The following is a 13435-nucleotide window of genomic DNA, read 5'->3' as shown; positions in this document are numbered from 1 at the left end:
TAAGCACTGGGAGACATGGCTGGGGCTTACGAAACCACAGGAGGCAGGATGGTATTTTGGTAGTGTACTGACAATGTGATACTAGTTTGTCCTGGCAAATCATGCTGGCAAGGAAAAGGATAAGGTTGGGGTCAGACAGACTTGGGTTACAATTGAAATTATGTTAATCATTCTCAGTATAAGTTGAGTAGAAAGCTACCTGATCCTTCTAGCCCTCAGAAAGATAAAGATACAAATTGAAAATGGAATACCAACCGTGCCAAGAGGGTTTCTGAAATAATTTGGGATGATGTCATGTTAAGCGTTTAGCAATCATGGTACATGGTAGGTATACAATTTGGGATTGTCATTATTCTTACTGTGTAATTGTTTGTGGTATTGCTATTAGGCCCCTATATTGGGAAAGGTGATACACATCAATGGACTTGTGAATGGGCGTGCCCTCACCACTTCTTTTGTCAAAGGATAACAATGTTCCAGAAGAAGGAAATTTGAGAAAATCAAGACCCCTCAACTCTCCCGAATCTTCACCTTGCCCACAAGGCTTTAGCTATTTATTGGAACTTTTCCACAGGGACCCAAAACCAAACTCCAACACCCAAGCTTGGCACTACAAGCCAAATCTAAAACTAGGTCCCGCAGGCTACTACTCTGAGCTGGAATGAGAATCTATGGAGAAAAACCTAGGGATCCCCATCACATCACGCAGGGCCCTGAAAACTGATGCCAGGCCTTCTTTCTTCCCACGTGAGATTATATTTCTTGTGTGAGGGCATTCTTGCATTGCTATAAAGAAAAACCTGAGACTGGGTTATTTATAAGAAAAGAGGTTTAATTGGCTCATGGTTCTGCAGGCTGTAAGGGAAGAATAGCACCTGCATCTGCTTCTGGGGAGGCCTCAGGAAGCTTTCACTCATGGCAGAAGACAAAGCAGGAGCAGGCACTTCATACAGCAAAAGCAGGAGTAAGAAAGAGAGTGGCAGGGGCAGGTGCCACACCTTTTTAAATGACCAGATCTTGTGACAACTCAGTATCGCAAAGACAGCACCAAGCCATGAGGGATCCACCCCTGTGACCCAGACACCTGGTCGGGGGCCAGGACTCCAGCACTGGGGATTAAAATTCAACATGAGATTTGGGTGGGGACAAATATCCAAACTATACCATTTCTTATCTCTCTGATGTTATTTTTAAGTGTTCTTTCATTAAAATAGCCACAATTGTTTCTTCTTGATTTAGGATTCTTGTCTCAGGTGTTGTTGATATCCTGAATCAACGGGAAACAAATAGGCTGTGTACTAGCTGGGATTTTTATTTGTCAATTTGCATTTCCAGCTTTGAGAATTCACGTGAGTGGCTCCACCATAGCCATCCTGAAGAGAACTGAGTGCCAGTTCCTTTATGAAGTGAGAGGAGAAACATACTTAAAGGTAAGGAGTCCACAGAGACAATGCATAGGAAAAGCTCTCAGACACGCTTGGGCCACCTCCTTTGAGACTTGGCCAGGAAAGTTGAGCATGCTAATCCTCTTCTGTACTCATCACGATGAGCACCCTCCATCCTCTGCAAGAGAAATGACCACCAAAAAATGTGAACTCAAAACTTGCCTTTACTCCAAAGAGCCCTTTTGAGATTTTGAACTCTGCCAGCATTTCCTCTGCCATATCCAGGTTTTGTATCCAGTTCCTCCTCCAAACACAAGAGCTACATACAGTCTGGTCCAGGACTTATTTAATTTGAATCAAAACCCTTGTCCCCCCACTTACTTCCCTACTCTTACTACACACTGCTGCTATGATCTGAGGTCACCTCTCTTGCCAGTTGCTTTACTATTCGGAAGCTCTAGAATCACAAGGAGTGAATGACAAGGTGTGGCCCCATTCTCCTCCTCTTCCTCATCTGGAAGCTTGTTAAAATGCAGATGTGTGGACACTCTACCAGGCCTACTATGCAAGATTCTCTGTGGGCGTAGATCAGAAATCTATATTTTTAACAAGATAATGTGTTTGTGACCACACTAATATTTGAGAATCGCTATTCCAGATTCTTCATGCAGTTCCTCACATTTAAAACAGCTGCCCTCCATAGCCATCAGTTGTCTCCAAATGCTTCTCAGGCTGCTTTTCCAAAGTTATTGGAATCTTTTCACAACTGGCAAAGCCAGCTATTAACTGTAAGTTACCTGTCTCCGGTAGCCATAATGCTTCTGGCCTTTACATTTGGATTGCACCTTGGAAAAGTCTCCTTTTACGTAAAAGTGTCCTAACATCACACTTGCTTTTTGAGTCCTCCATAAGTACATTTTTTACAAAGAACACTTACCCCAAAATAGAACCAGTTTATGGATTGCTATGGTCCAAACACAGCCAGTGAACCACTACTTTTTTAAATGAGTTTAACAATATATATCAATTATATATATATATATATCAATCACTCATTTTTAAATTATTGATATATATTATAGATATATATTATTAAACTCATTTTTTAAAAATAGTGGTTCACTGGCTGTGTTTGGGCCATATGTATTTTGTATCTCTTTTTCAAATACCAGCTTTAGCAAAAACAGGGTTTCCAGTATTCCAGTAAATTTCCATACATTCCGTAGCCTCCAGATGGGCCCCAGAAATGCCACTTAATGAGTTCTTAATTGTGATGTACATGTGTTTGTAATAAGATAGGGAAACTGTAGCAAAAGTTTTGTAGCAAAACTTTATTGCAAAAAGGGCTAGAAGGAAATATGGACAATGACAACCAGTTGGATTTGTTGACGTAGCAGAATTGTAGATGAATTTTCTTCCTTTTTAAGTTAGAGTTCTTGTGATGTTGCTAGAGTGATATTTTAAAATGTCTTTTGGGGAAAAAAAAGAAAACTCTACTTTGAGAAAAGGATGTCTGCTGAATGAGAAACTTATTTTTAAAAAGGCACTTGGAAATAAAAATCTGTCTAGAGATAATGCAAATCATAACAGGAATGTGTGATGTGCTTAAATATTGGCACTGATGAGAAATGCGGAAGTGAAACATGTCACAGAAACAGATCATTATGGAAACAGTGGTCTACAACTGAACTGACTCCTTGGACTCCGTGGTACGTAACTCTTTTGTCTTACCAGGGAAGAGGAAATGAGACTACCTACTGGCTGACTGGGATGAAGGACCAGAAATTCAACCTGCCAACCCCTCCTACTGTGTAAGCTTCTGGGTGTGGCAGGGACAGGGAGGAAATTAGAGATCTTGGCTTTGTTAGTTACAGCCAATTTAAATTGGCAAATGCCTTACAAGTGGCATATATTGCATAAGAAGTAAGGGACTATACATGAGAAGGTTTAGAAACCTCCCTTCCTAGACTGCAAGAAGGGGATTATCCTGAAACCCTGCATTTTCCTGAGACCTCAATGAAACAGAAAAGTATTTAGCCTTGGCTTCCCTGTCTGGAACACAGACTTGCTTCCCTGAATCAGATGTGGGGGCTCAGTATAAAACTACCTTTTTTTTTTTCCACTGTGGATCCTTTATCCCAAGAGGGAGCTTCCACCTGGAAAAGAGGAAGAATGAACAGACTATTTAGAACTTGAGGAGATTTTGTTATTTCATTTATTTCATTTTATTTACTGGCTCTGTATTCATGATATTTTTAACTGTCAAAATTATGTTTTAAATGCCTTATCTGCATTAAAGTATACTTAACTTATAGTTTATGCAGAAAATATACTATATATTAGACAAGAATGAGTTAAAAGTTTCCTGAGTCTGGGTATGAGCTTCTACCTATTCTGTCCACTTTCTTAGACTGTACCAGTCATCATCTTGTTCTTGCTGAAAAACTGACTATATTGCCCTGCAATAAAGCATGGCAAAGCTAGCGTTGTGTTCCAGGCTTGCTCGGGAGAACAGAAGACACTTTAGAGTTCACTTCATGCATGTCTTGTTCTGACAAGAGTGGAGCATACTGGGGGCAAAGAGGCTCTCTGCATTCCACTCCTGTCTTCATCTTTCTGTTGAGTTGCCTGATGAAAACAGGACCTGCCCCAACCCCAAGACTGCGGTTCTGGGTCTTAACATGAAGTCTGTGTTCTCCCTGAGATGAGGAAGACAAAGTTTCAGGGTTAACTGACAGGTTTCACTTCTCCTAAAGGTGACTCAAGCTGTCACCCAGTTGCCTGTCAATACATGTTACTGCAGCCATATGGCCATTTCCTTGGCTTTTGCTATGGTTGAGAAACTCTGTCTTGCAGAGGCCTAGATGTCAGACCCAGAGAGATGGCAACCTTCTAGAAAAGCCAAAACAACCCAAATCTTCCCTGGGGCATGAGAAACCTGGCTCCTTACTTGGAGTGTTCCAGGTCCATTCTAAACTCGTGGTCCCCTCCACCATTCTAAGCCTTCCCCAAACAAGACTCACACTGTTAAGTATGTGTGGGACCAATGAGTTTTCAGGGTTGTGTGGCAGGGGCCTAGCATCCTCCCAGCTTCTTTTCCCCTTCCTGCAGTGGCATATGTAAACCTAGATCCTCCCAACCATGCCTCCAAATTCCAGCAGCATATTGTTTCACTTTGAAATTGAAGCCTAATTTCCTAGCAGAGATAACAGTTTTTTAAGCTCATCAAAGGCAGGGATCATTTTGTATTCTTTGGATTTCCTGTGTCTAGCACAGAATAGGCATTCAAAGAGTAACTGACTAACTGAACTGATTATTCTGGAGCTAAGGAATATTCTGTATGAATTGCTGAGAAGTTCTATTTTCTCTTCCCACTCTGTTTCCAGGGAGAATCAACAGCGTTTGCAAGCAGAATTTTCAGACATGATTGCCAACTCTTTACAGAAAAGACAGGCAGCAGGGATAAGAAGCCAAAAACCCAGACGGGTAGCCAGCTATAAAAAAGGCACTCTGGAATACTTGCAGCTGAATACCACAGACAAGGAGAGCACCTATTTTTAAACCTAAATGAGGTATAAGGACTCACACAAATTAAAATACAGCTGCACTGAGGCAGCGACCTCAAGTGTCCTGAAAGCTTACATTTTCCTGAGACCTCAATGAAGCAGAAATGTACTTAGGCTTGGCTGCCCTGTCTGGAACATGGACTTTCTTGCATGAATCAGATGTGTGTTCTCAGTGAAATAACTACCTTCCACTCTGGAACCTTATTCCAGCAGTTGTTCCAGGGAGCTTCTACCTGGAAAAGAAAAGAAATGAATAGACTATCTAGAACTTGAGAAGATTTTATTCTTATTTCATTTATTTTTTGTTTGTTTATTTTTATCGTTTTTGTTTACTGGCTTTCCTTCTGTATTCATAAGATTTTTTAAATTGTCATAATTATATTTTAAATACCCATCTTCATTAAAGTATATTTAACTCATAATTTTTGCAGAAAATATGCTATATATTAGGCAAGAATAAAAGCTAAAGGTTTCCCAAAACTGTGTATGCGTTTCTACCTATTTTGCCCATTTTCCTGGAATACATCAGTCACATCATCTTGTGCTTACTGAAAAACTGACTACATTCACTCACACTGAAGTACGGCAAAGCTAGCATTGTTGCTCAAGGGTGAGAACCTTGAAGGTTAGTATCACTTGCTACACATGAGGGAATTTTTGACCTTTATACAGAGGTGTTGCTTCAGCTTGTCCAATTAACAATGTGGATGGCAGTGATCCAAGTATGGGACCCAGGCAAAAGTCAAGTTCCTGTACTGCACTTTTCTAACTACAAAGTAATCCATGTCTCCAGGCTCCTGATCTTTCATCAGTAAATTATGAATTATAATACTCACTTCATTTTAGACTGCGCCACCCCTTCCCCCAAGCTGGCATAACACCACTCACAGATAATTTCCTTAGACCCACAGTTTACAAGGTAAAAGGAGGGAATTGGAGATGGAAGTTTGATCTCCCCACCAGTCTGAGAATCTTCACAAGAAGCTCACTCTGGTCCTGTCTCATGAACCATTGCAAGTACCAGGTGGGCTGAAACACCAGGGGTGAACTGGGGACAAAAAGCGGAGGTGCTGATTGCTGAAACTGACATGCAGATCTTGCAGCTGCTCTGTACTCCAATCAGCAGAGATGCCATACTGAGAAAACTGGATGATGCAACAGTCCTACTCTAGGCAAAACCCACAGGAAAGCCTGAATCCCTGGTTAGATTTCCCACAAAGCCCAGGTGCTAATGTGGAACCTTCCTCTTACTTGGAAACAACTAAAAGGTTTTTTCCTTTTAAACAACCTTTGAATTCTAGCACTCTCCTAAGGCTTCCCCAGACCAGGAAGCAATAGCAGACCAGTGACTAAGTTACAACATTAAGCACTAAAAGTCTAACACCACCAAGAATACCTGTAAAAGCTGGAAGAAGTGACCATCTCCTCGAATGTGCGGGCATCAATGTAAAGACACAAGGATTGTGAAAACTCAGGGAAATATGATACCATCAAAAGAAACCAACAAAGCTCCAGTAATAGACCCAAAATAATTGAAGGCCCGTAACATGTCTGACAGAATTCAGAAAAATCTTAAAGAGTTCAGGGAAGCACAAAAGAGTATAGATTAAAAAAATTAAATGAAATTTGAAAAACAATCCAGGAACAAAATGAGAAAATTGACAAAGAAAAAAATATAAAAACACACATAAAAGTAGAAATCTTAGACATAAAGGATAAAATAGCTAAACTGGAAAAGCTCATTATAAAGCTTCAACAACATATTTAATCAGAGGAAAGAATGGGCTTGAAGACAGGACATATGAAATTACCCATCCGAAAAGAAAAAAAGAATTAAAAAGAATTATAGGATACCATCAAGCAAACTAACCTTCATATAATAAGAATTCCTAAAGAAGATGAGAGAGAAAAGAGCCATATTTTAAAAATTATAGCTGAAAGATTTTCAAATCTGAAGAAAGATGATAGCACTCAGGTACAGGAAACTCAGAGGTCACCAATCAAATTCAAAGAGGAATTCCCCAAATCATATCATAATCAAATTATCAAAAATCAAAGATAAAGAAGGAATATTCAAACCAGGAAGAGAAAAAAAAAGCACATTCAATAGAGCCCCAATATAGCTTGCAGTAAATCTCTTAGCAGAAACTTTGCAGACTAGGAGACAGTGAGATATATATTCAAAGTATTGAGAAAAAGATACTGTCAGCTAAGAATACTGTATGCAACAAAGCTATCTTTCAAACATGAAGGACAGATAAAGACTTTCCTAGACCAAAAAAAGAAAAAAAAAACAAACCCTGAGGGAATTAATCAACATCAGGCTTGTCATACAAGAAATCCTAAAGGGGGTCCAGCAGTCTAAAAGAGAAGGATGTTAACATGTAACAAGAAAACATCTGAAGGTATAAAACTCACTGGTAAAAGTAAGAATAGAAATTCAGAATACTCTAGTACTGTAATTATGATATATAAACCAATTATATCTTAATTATGGAGACTAAAACTTATTAAAGATGATAATAACTACAACAATTGGTTGAGAGGCAATATAAAGAGATGTAAACTAAAACATCAAAAAGTCAAAACGTGGAGGGGGAATGATGTTAAAGTATAGTGTGTTTTGTTGCTTTGCTTTTCTTTGCAATCAAAGCTAAGTTCTTTTCCATTTAAAATAACCTATTATAACTATAAAATGTTTTATGTAAGCCTCATAGTAACCACAAAGAAAGAAATCTATAATAGAGACACTGACAATAAACAGCACAGAATTAAAACATACTACTAGAGAAAATTACTTAACCACAGAGGAAGACAGTATGAGAGGAAGAAAATAAAAAATTTACCAGAAAAATGCAAAAAACACTTACAAGAATGGCAACAGAAAACATGTTCCTATCAATAATAACCTTTAATGTAAATGGACTATATTCTCCAATTAAAAGACATAGAGTAGGGCAGGTATGGTGGCTCATGCCTGTAATCCCAGTACTTTGGGAGGCTGAGGTGATTGGATCACTTGAGGCCAGGAGTTCGAGACCAGCCTGGCCAACATGGTGAAACTCCATCTCTACTAAAAATACAAAAATTAGCCAGCATGGTGGCACACACCTGTAATCCCAGCTATTCGGGTGGCTGAAGCAAAAGAATCACTTGAACCCAGGAGGTGGAGGTTGCAGTGAGCTGAGATTGTACCACTGCACTCCAGCCTGGGCAACAGAGTGTGACTCTGTCTCAAAAAAAAAAAAAAAAAAAAAGATATAGAGTAGCCGAATGAATTTTTGTTTAAAGAAAAACAGGACCTAACTACATGCTCTCTATAAGAAACTGCACCTCTGAAGATACATGCAGACTGAAATCAAAGGAATGGGAAAAGATATTCCATGCAAATGGAAACCAAAAAGATCAGGAGTAGCTGTACTTATATCATATAAAATAGACTGAGGTCAAGAATAGTATACAAAAAATAAATAAAGCTATTATATAAATATAATATTATTTATATAATAAATTATATAAATTTCAATTATATAATTTAATAAATGTATAATTTAATAAATTATATAATTATATAATACAATATAATAAATTATATAAAGGAGTCAATGCAACAGGGAATACAGTAATTGTAATACATATGAACCCAATACTAAGGTAAAATGTAAAGCAAATATTAATAGACCTGAGGGGAGAGATTGTTTAGAATATAAAAGTAGTAGGGGACTTTAGCACCCCACTTTTAGCAATAGACATATCATCCAGACAGAAAATTAATAAACATGGAGGTTAAACTGTACTCTAGACTGAATGTACCTAACAGACTTTTACAGAACATTCCACCTAACAACTACAAAATGCACATTTTTCTCAACAGTGCATGGAGCATTTGTCAGGACAGATAATATATGCAGGCACAAAACAAGTCTTAATAAATTTAAAGTCAAAATTATATTAAGTATCTTTTCTGACTGCAATGGAATAAAACTAGAAATCAGTAACAGGAGAATTTGACATAGTGGGCATGGGCATGTGAAAAAAAAGAAGAAAAAAAAAACAGGAGAAACTTTGGAAACTCTACAAATACACAGAAATTAAACAACATGCTCCTGAATTACTATTAGGTCAAGGAAGAAATTAAGAGGGAAATTAACATTTTTCTTAAGACAAGTGAAAATGGAAATACACCATACACAAATCTATGAAACACAGCAAAAGCAGTTCTAAGAGGGAAGTTTATAGCAATAAATGCCCACATTGAAAAAGTAGAAAGATCTCAAGCAAGATGACTTTCACCTCAAGAACTAGAAAAATAAGAACAAACTTAACCCAAAATTAGTAGAAAAAAGAAATAATAGAATGGAATTAAATGAAATAGAGATTTTTAAAACAATACAAAAGATCAACAAAGCAAAAAAAATTTTTTAAAAATATAAACAAAACAACATGCCTTTAGCTAGACTTACTAAGAAAAAGAGAAGACTCAAATAAATAAAATCAAAGATGATAAAGGAAACATGACAACTGATACCACAGAAATACAAAGAATCATAAGAGACTAGGAACAACTAAATAACAATAGATTAGAAGATCTAGAAGAAATGTATACATTTCTGAACACATACAACCTATCAAAATTGAATCATAAGAAATAGAAAACCCAAACAGAACAATAACAAGTAACAAGATTGATGTAGTAATAAAAACTCTCCCATCAAAGAAAAGTCCAGGACCCAATGGCTTTACCACTTAATTCTACCAACATATGAAGAAAAACTAATACCAGTTCTTCTCAAACTATTTCAGAAAGTTAAGGAGAAGGGAATACTTCCAAACTCATTGTCCAAGGCCAATATTATTCTGATTCCAAAACCAGAGAAGGACTTCAAACCAACACCACTGATGAACATACATGCAAAAACCCTCAACAAAATATTAGCAAATAAAATTCAACAGTATATTGAAAAGATCATTCACCATAATCAAGTGGAATTCATCTCAGGGATGCAAGGATGGTTCAACATACACAAATTAATAAAGATGATAAACCACAGTAACAAAATCAAGGATAAATACAATAAAATCATTTTCATTGATGCTAAAAAAGCTTTTAATAAAATTCAGCTTGCCTTCATGATAAAAATTCTCAACAAATTGGACATAGAAGAAACATACTTCAACACAATAAAGGCCACAATGATAAAAACCCACAGTTAACATCATACTGAACAAAGAAAAGTTGAAAACTTTTTCTCCAAGATTTGAAGCAAGATAAGGATACCCACATTTACCTCATAATTTCAACATAGTATTGAAAGTTCTAGCCACAGCAGTTATGCAAAAAGTTCTAGCCAGAGCAGTTATGCAAGAGAAAGAAATAAATGGCATCCAAACTGGAAAGAAGGAAGTCAAATTGTCCCTGTTGGTAGACAACATAAACATATCTATAGAAAAACCTAAAAGACTCCACCAAAAACTGTTAGAACTAATAAATAAATTCAGAAAAGTTGCAGGATACAAAACCAACATACAAAAATCAATAACATATCTGTATTTCAGTAGCAAACTAACTGGAAAAAAATCAAGAGAGCAATTCTGCTTACAATAGCTTCAAGAAAAAAAAATACCTAGGAATAAACTTAACAAAGGAGTTAAATGATCTCTACAATAAAACCTATAAAACATTGATTAAAGAAATTGAAGAGGACATAAATAAATGGAAAATATTCCGTGTTCATGGATTCAAATAATTAATATTATAAAAATGTTTATATTACCCAAAACAATGTACAGATTTAATGCAATTCCCATCAAAATACTAATGGCCTTCTTCACAGAAATAGAAAAAAAATTAAATTCATATGGAAATCCAAAAGACCCCAGAAAGCCAAAGCAATTTGGAACAGAAAGAACAAAGCTGGAGGCATTTCACTACCTGATTTCAAAATGTACTATAAAGTTGCAGTAACCAAAACTACAGGGTACTGGTATAAAAACAGACACATAGACAGATAGAATAGAATAGAGAACACAGAAATAAATATATGTCTTTACATTCAACTGCTTTTCAACAAAAACATCATGAACATGTACTGGAGAAAAGACAGTCTCTTCAATAAGTGAGGGTAGGAAAACTATATATCCACATGCAAAAGAATGAAACTAGACCCCATGTCTCACCATAAACAAAAATCAACTCTAAGTTGGTTAAAGACTTAAACATAAAACCCAAAACTATGAAAGTACTAGAAGAAAACATAGGGAAAACACTTCAAGACATTGGCTTAGGCAAAAGTTTTATGGCTAAGACCTCAAAAGCATAGCCAAAAAAAACCAAAATAGACAAATGGAACTATATTTAACTAAAAACTTCTGCAAAGTAAAGGAAACAATCAACAGAGTGAAGAGACAACCTGTTGAGTGCAATAAAATATTTTCAAACTATTCATCCAACAAATGACTAATATCCAGAATGTATAAGTAACCCAAACAACTCAACAGGCAACACACACACACACACACACACACACAATCCAAAGTAAAATTTCAAAATTAAGCAAAATACCTGAATAGATACTTCTCAAAATAAGACATACAAAACGCCAAGAGATATATGAAAAAATAAATGTTCAACAGGGAAATGCAAATCAAAACCATGGTAAGATATCACTTCACCCCCACTTATGCCCGTAAAGCTATTCAAATTTTTAAAAATTAAAATTCAAAAAAGATATCACCTCGCCCCAGTTAGAATGGCTATTATCAAAAAGACAAAAAATCACAAATGCTGGCAAGGATGTGAAGAATGGAATGCTTGTGCACTGTTGGTGGGAATGAAAATTAATAAATCCATTATGAAAAACAGTATGAAGGTTTCTCAAAAAATTAAAAATAGATAATAAAAACTACACATAACTAATTAAAAAAATCAATGTACTTTAACATAGGAGTAAAAAATTATGCAAACTAACCAAAGGGAAAAAGAAGTGAATGAAACAAAACAGAGCTACTAAGAGCTGTGGGAGAATATCAAAAGGTCTCACATGTATGTGATTGGAATCCCAGCAGACAAAATAATTCAGAAGAAATATTTGAAAAAATAATGGCTAAATAAAGTTACAGTAACCAAAACCACATTATACTGGCATAAAAACAGATACATAGACCAATAGAATAGAATAGAGAACACAGAAATAAATTCATGCCTTTATATCCAACTGATTTTCAACAAAAGCACCACAAACATACATTGGAGAAGAGAGTCTCTTCAATAAATAAGGGTAGGAAAACTATAGATCCACATGCTGAGAATGAAAGAGTTTACCAAATGTAATGACAGCCACCAAATCACAAGTTTAAGAATCTCAGAGAAATCCATTTAGGATAAATTCCCAAACCCACATCTGGGCATGTTATATTTAAACTGCTGAAAACCAAAAATAAAGAAAAAATTGTGAAGATAGCCAAACGGGGAAAAAAGACATTGCACAACAGAAGGACAAATATTAAGAATTACTGCAGACTCATATTCTGAAACTATGCAAGCTAAAAGACAATGGAATGACATCTTTGAAATGCTGAGAGAAAAAAAAAGAATTTTATACCCAGCAAAAAAAAATACACATATTTCAAAATAAAAAATAAAGATGTTCATGCCCCTAAGATGAACGTGAGGGTTTATTGTCAGCAGACGAATTCTATAGTAAATTTTAAATAAGGTTCTTCAGGCAGAAGACATTCAACACCATATACAGACTAGGATCCACACAAAGAAATGAATGGTACTGGAAATATAATATATACTGGTAAAATTTTTTTATTTTTAAATGTTCTAAAACTAGTCATGTGTTTACCTTCTTGTTTTTGATTTCCTATTGAATTGCACAGATTTAGAAAATTGTAGCTTTATTTTAGTTTCCTTTATGACATTTCACCAAAGGAGACATATAAATGCAAACATATATCTACATATATAAATGTTCAACATCATTAGTCATTAGTAAAGTGTAATTAACACAACAAAAAGATAATACCACATACTTATTAAAATGGCTACAACTAGAAGTCTGACAATATGAAGTGCTGATGTGGATGCAGAGCAAATGGAACTCTCATACATTGTTAACAGGTATTTAAAACAGTAAAGAAACTTTGGAAAATACTTTAGCCCTTTAAAATATGAATTAAATAGACACAATAGGATATAACAACACCACTCCAACATAATTATGCAAATAAAATGAAAACTATGTTCATATGAATATGTTTCTGAATGTTTATATTAGTATTATTGATAAATTTTAAAAAACATATTTTTCAACAAGTATATGAATAAAGTAACTATGGAGTACTCATACAATCACATGCCACTGAGCAATAAAAAATAAACTATTGTTCATAAAATATCATGAGTGCAATGGATCAATAAAAAAGTTAAGAAAAAAATTTTTAAAAAATTTTGAAACAAATAAAACTGGATATTCAACA

At 35.7% G+C, this 13435-nt stretch overlaps 1 protein-coding gene and 1 long non-coding RNA gene across 3 annotated transcripts in view, besides 4 other annotated features; one reads left to right on the top strand and one right to left on the bottom strand.

Annotated features, from left to right (window-relative positions):
* Nucleotides 1-5431, top strand: part of GUCY2C (guanylate cyclase 2C) — an 83968-nt gene extending 78537 nt beyond the window's left edge. For both annotated transcript variants that reach the window (XM_011520631.3, NM_004963.4), the window contains exons 25-27: nucleotides 1336-1430; nucleotides 3120-3196; nucleotides 4772-5431. In XM_011520631.3, coding sequence (XP_011518933.1) covers nucleotides 1336-1430; nucleotides 3120-3196; nucleotides 4772-4946 — 347 coding nt within the window. In that variant the 3' untranslated portion in view covers nucleotides 4947-5431. The remainder of the gene's footprint in view (nucleotides 1-1335; nucleotides 1431-3119; nucleotides 3197-4771) is intronic.
* Nucleotides 1-13435, bottom strand: part of PLBD1-AS1 (PLBD1 antisense RNA 1) — a 52024-nt gene that overhangs the window by 1693 nt on the left and 36896 nt on the right. Inside the window, exons 3-4 of the long non-coding RNA NR_120465.1 lie at nucleotides 5137-5184; nucleotides 3493-3541 (exon numbers count right to left, since the gene is read on the bottom strand). This is a non-coding gene — a long non-coding RNA (PLBD1 antisense RNA 1). The remainder of the gene's footprint in view (nucleotides 1-3492; nucleotides 3542-5136; nucleotides 5185-13435) is intronic.
* Nucleotides 3163-3212: a silencer, noted in NCBI's record as "silent region_4275". NCBI's record gives its function as "represses an Ori minimal core promoter by ATAC-STARR-seq in GM12878 lymphoblastoid cells {active_cell/tissue: GM12878}" and the evidence as "EXISTENCE:reporter gene assay evidence [ECO:0000049][PMID:35858748]".
* Nucleotides 3745-3994: an enhancer, noted in NCBI's record as "active region_6049". NCBI's record gives its function as "activates an Ori minimal core promoter by ATAC-STARR-seq in GM12878 lymphoblastoid cells {active_cell/tissue: GM12878}" and the evidence as "EXISTENCE:reporter gene assay evidence [ECO:0000049][PMID:35858748]".
* Nucleotides 4015-4114: an enhancer, noted in NCBI's record as "active region_6048". NCBI's record gives its function as "activates an Ori minimal core promoter by ATAC-STARR-seq in GM12878 lymphoblastoid cells {active_cell/tissue: GM12878}" and the evidence as "EXISTENCE:reporter gene assay evidence [ECO:0000049][PMID:35858748]".
* Nucleotides 4125-4174: an enhancer, noted in NCBI's record as "active region_6047". NCBI's record gives its function as "activates an Ori minimal core promoter by ATAC-STARR-seq in GM12878 lymphoblastoid cells {active_cell/tissue: GM12878}" and the evidence as "EXISTENCE:reporter gene assay evidence [ECO:0000049][PMID:35858748]".

This window comes from Homo sapiens, chromosome 12, assembly GCF_000001405.40.
Source record: "Homo sapiens chromosome 12, GRCh38.p14 Primary Assembly".
NCBI classification, from domain to species: Eukaryota; Metazoa; Chordata; class Mammalia; order Primates; family Hominidae; genus Homo; species Homo sapiens.
The sequence above is the reverse complement of the archived record's forward strand: the minus strand, read 5'-3'. Positions and strand labels throughout refer to the sequence as shown.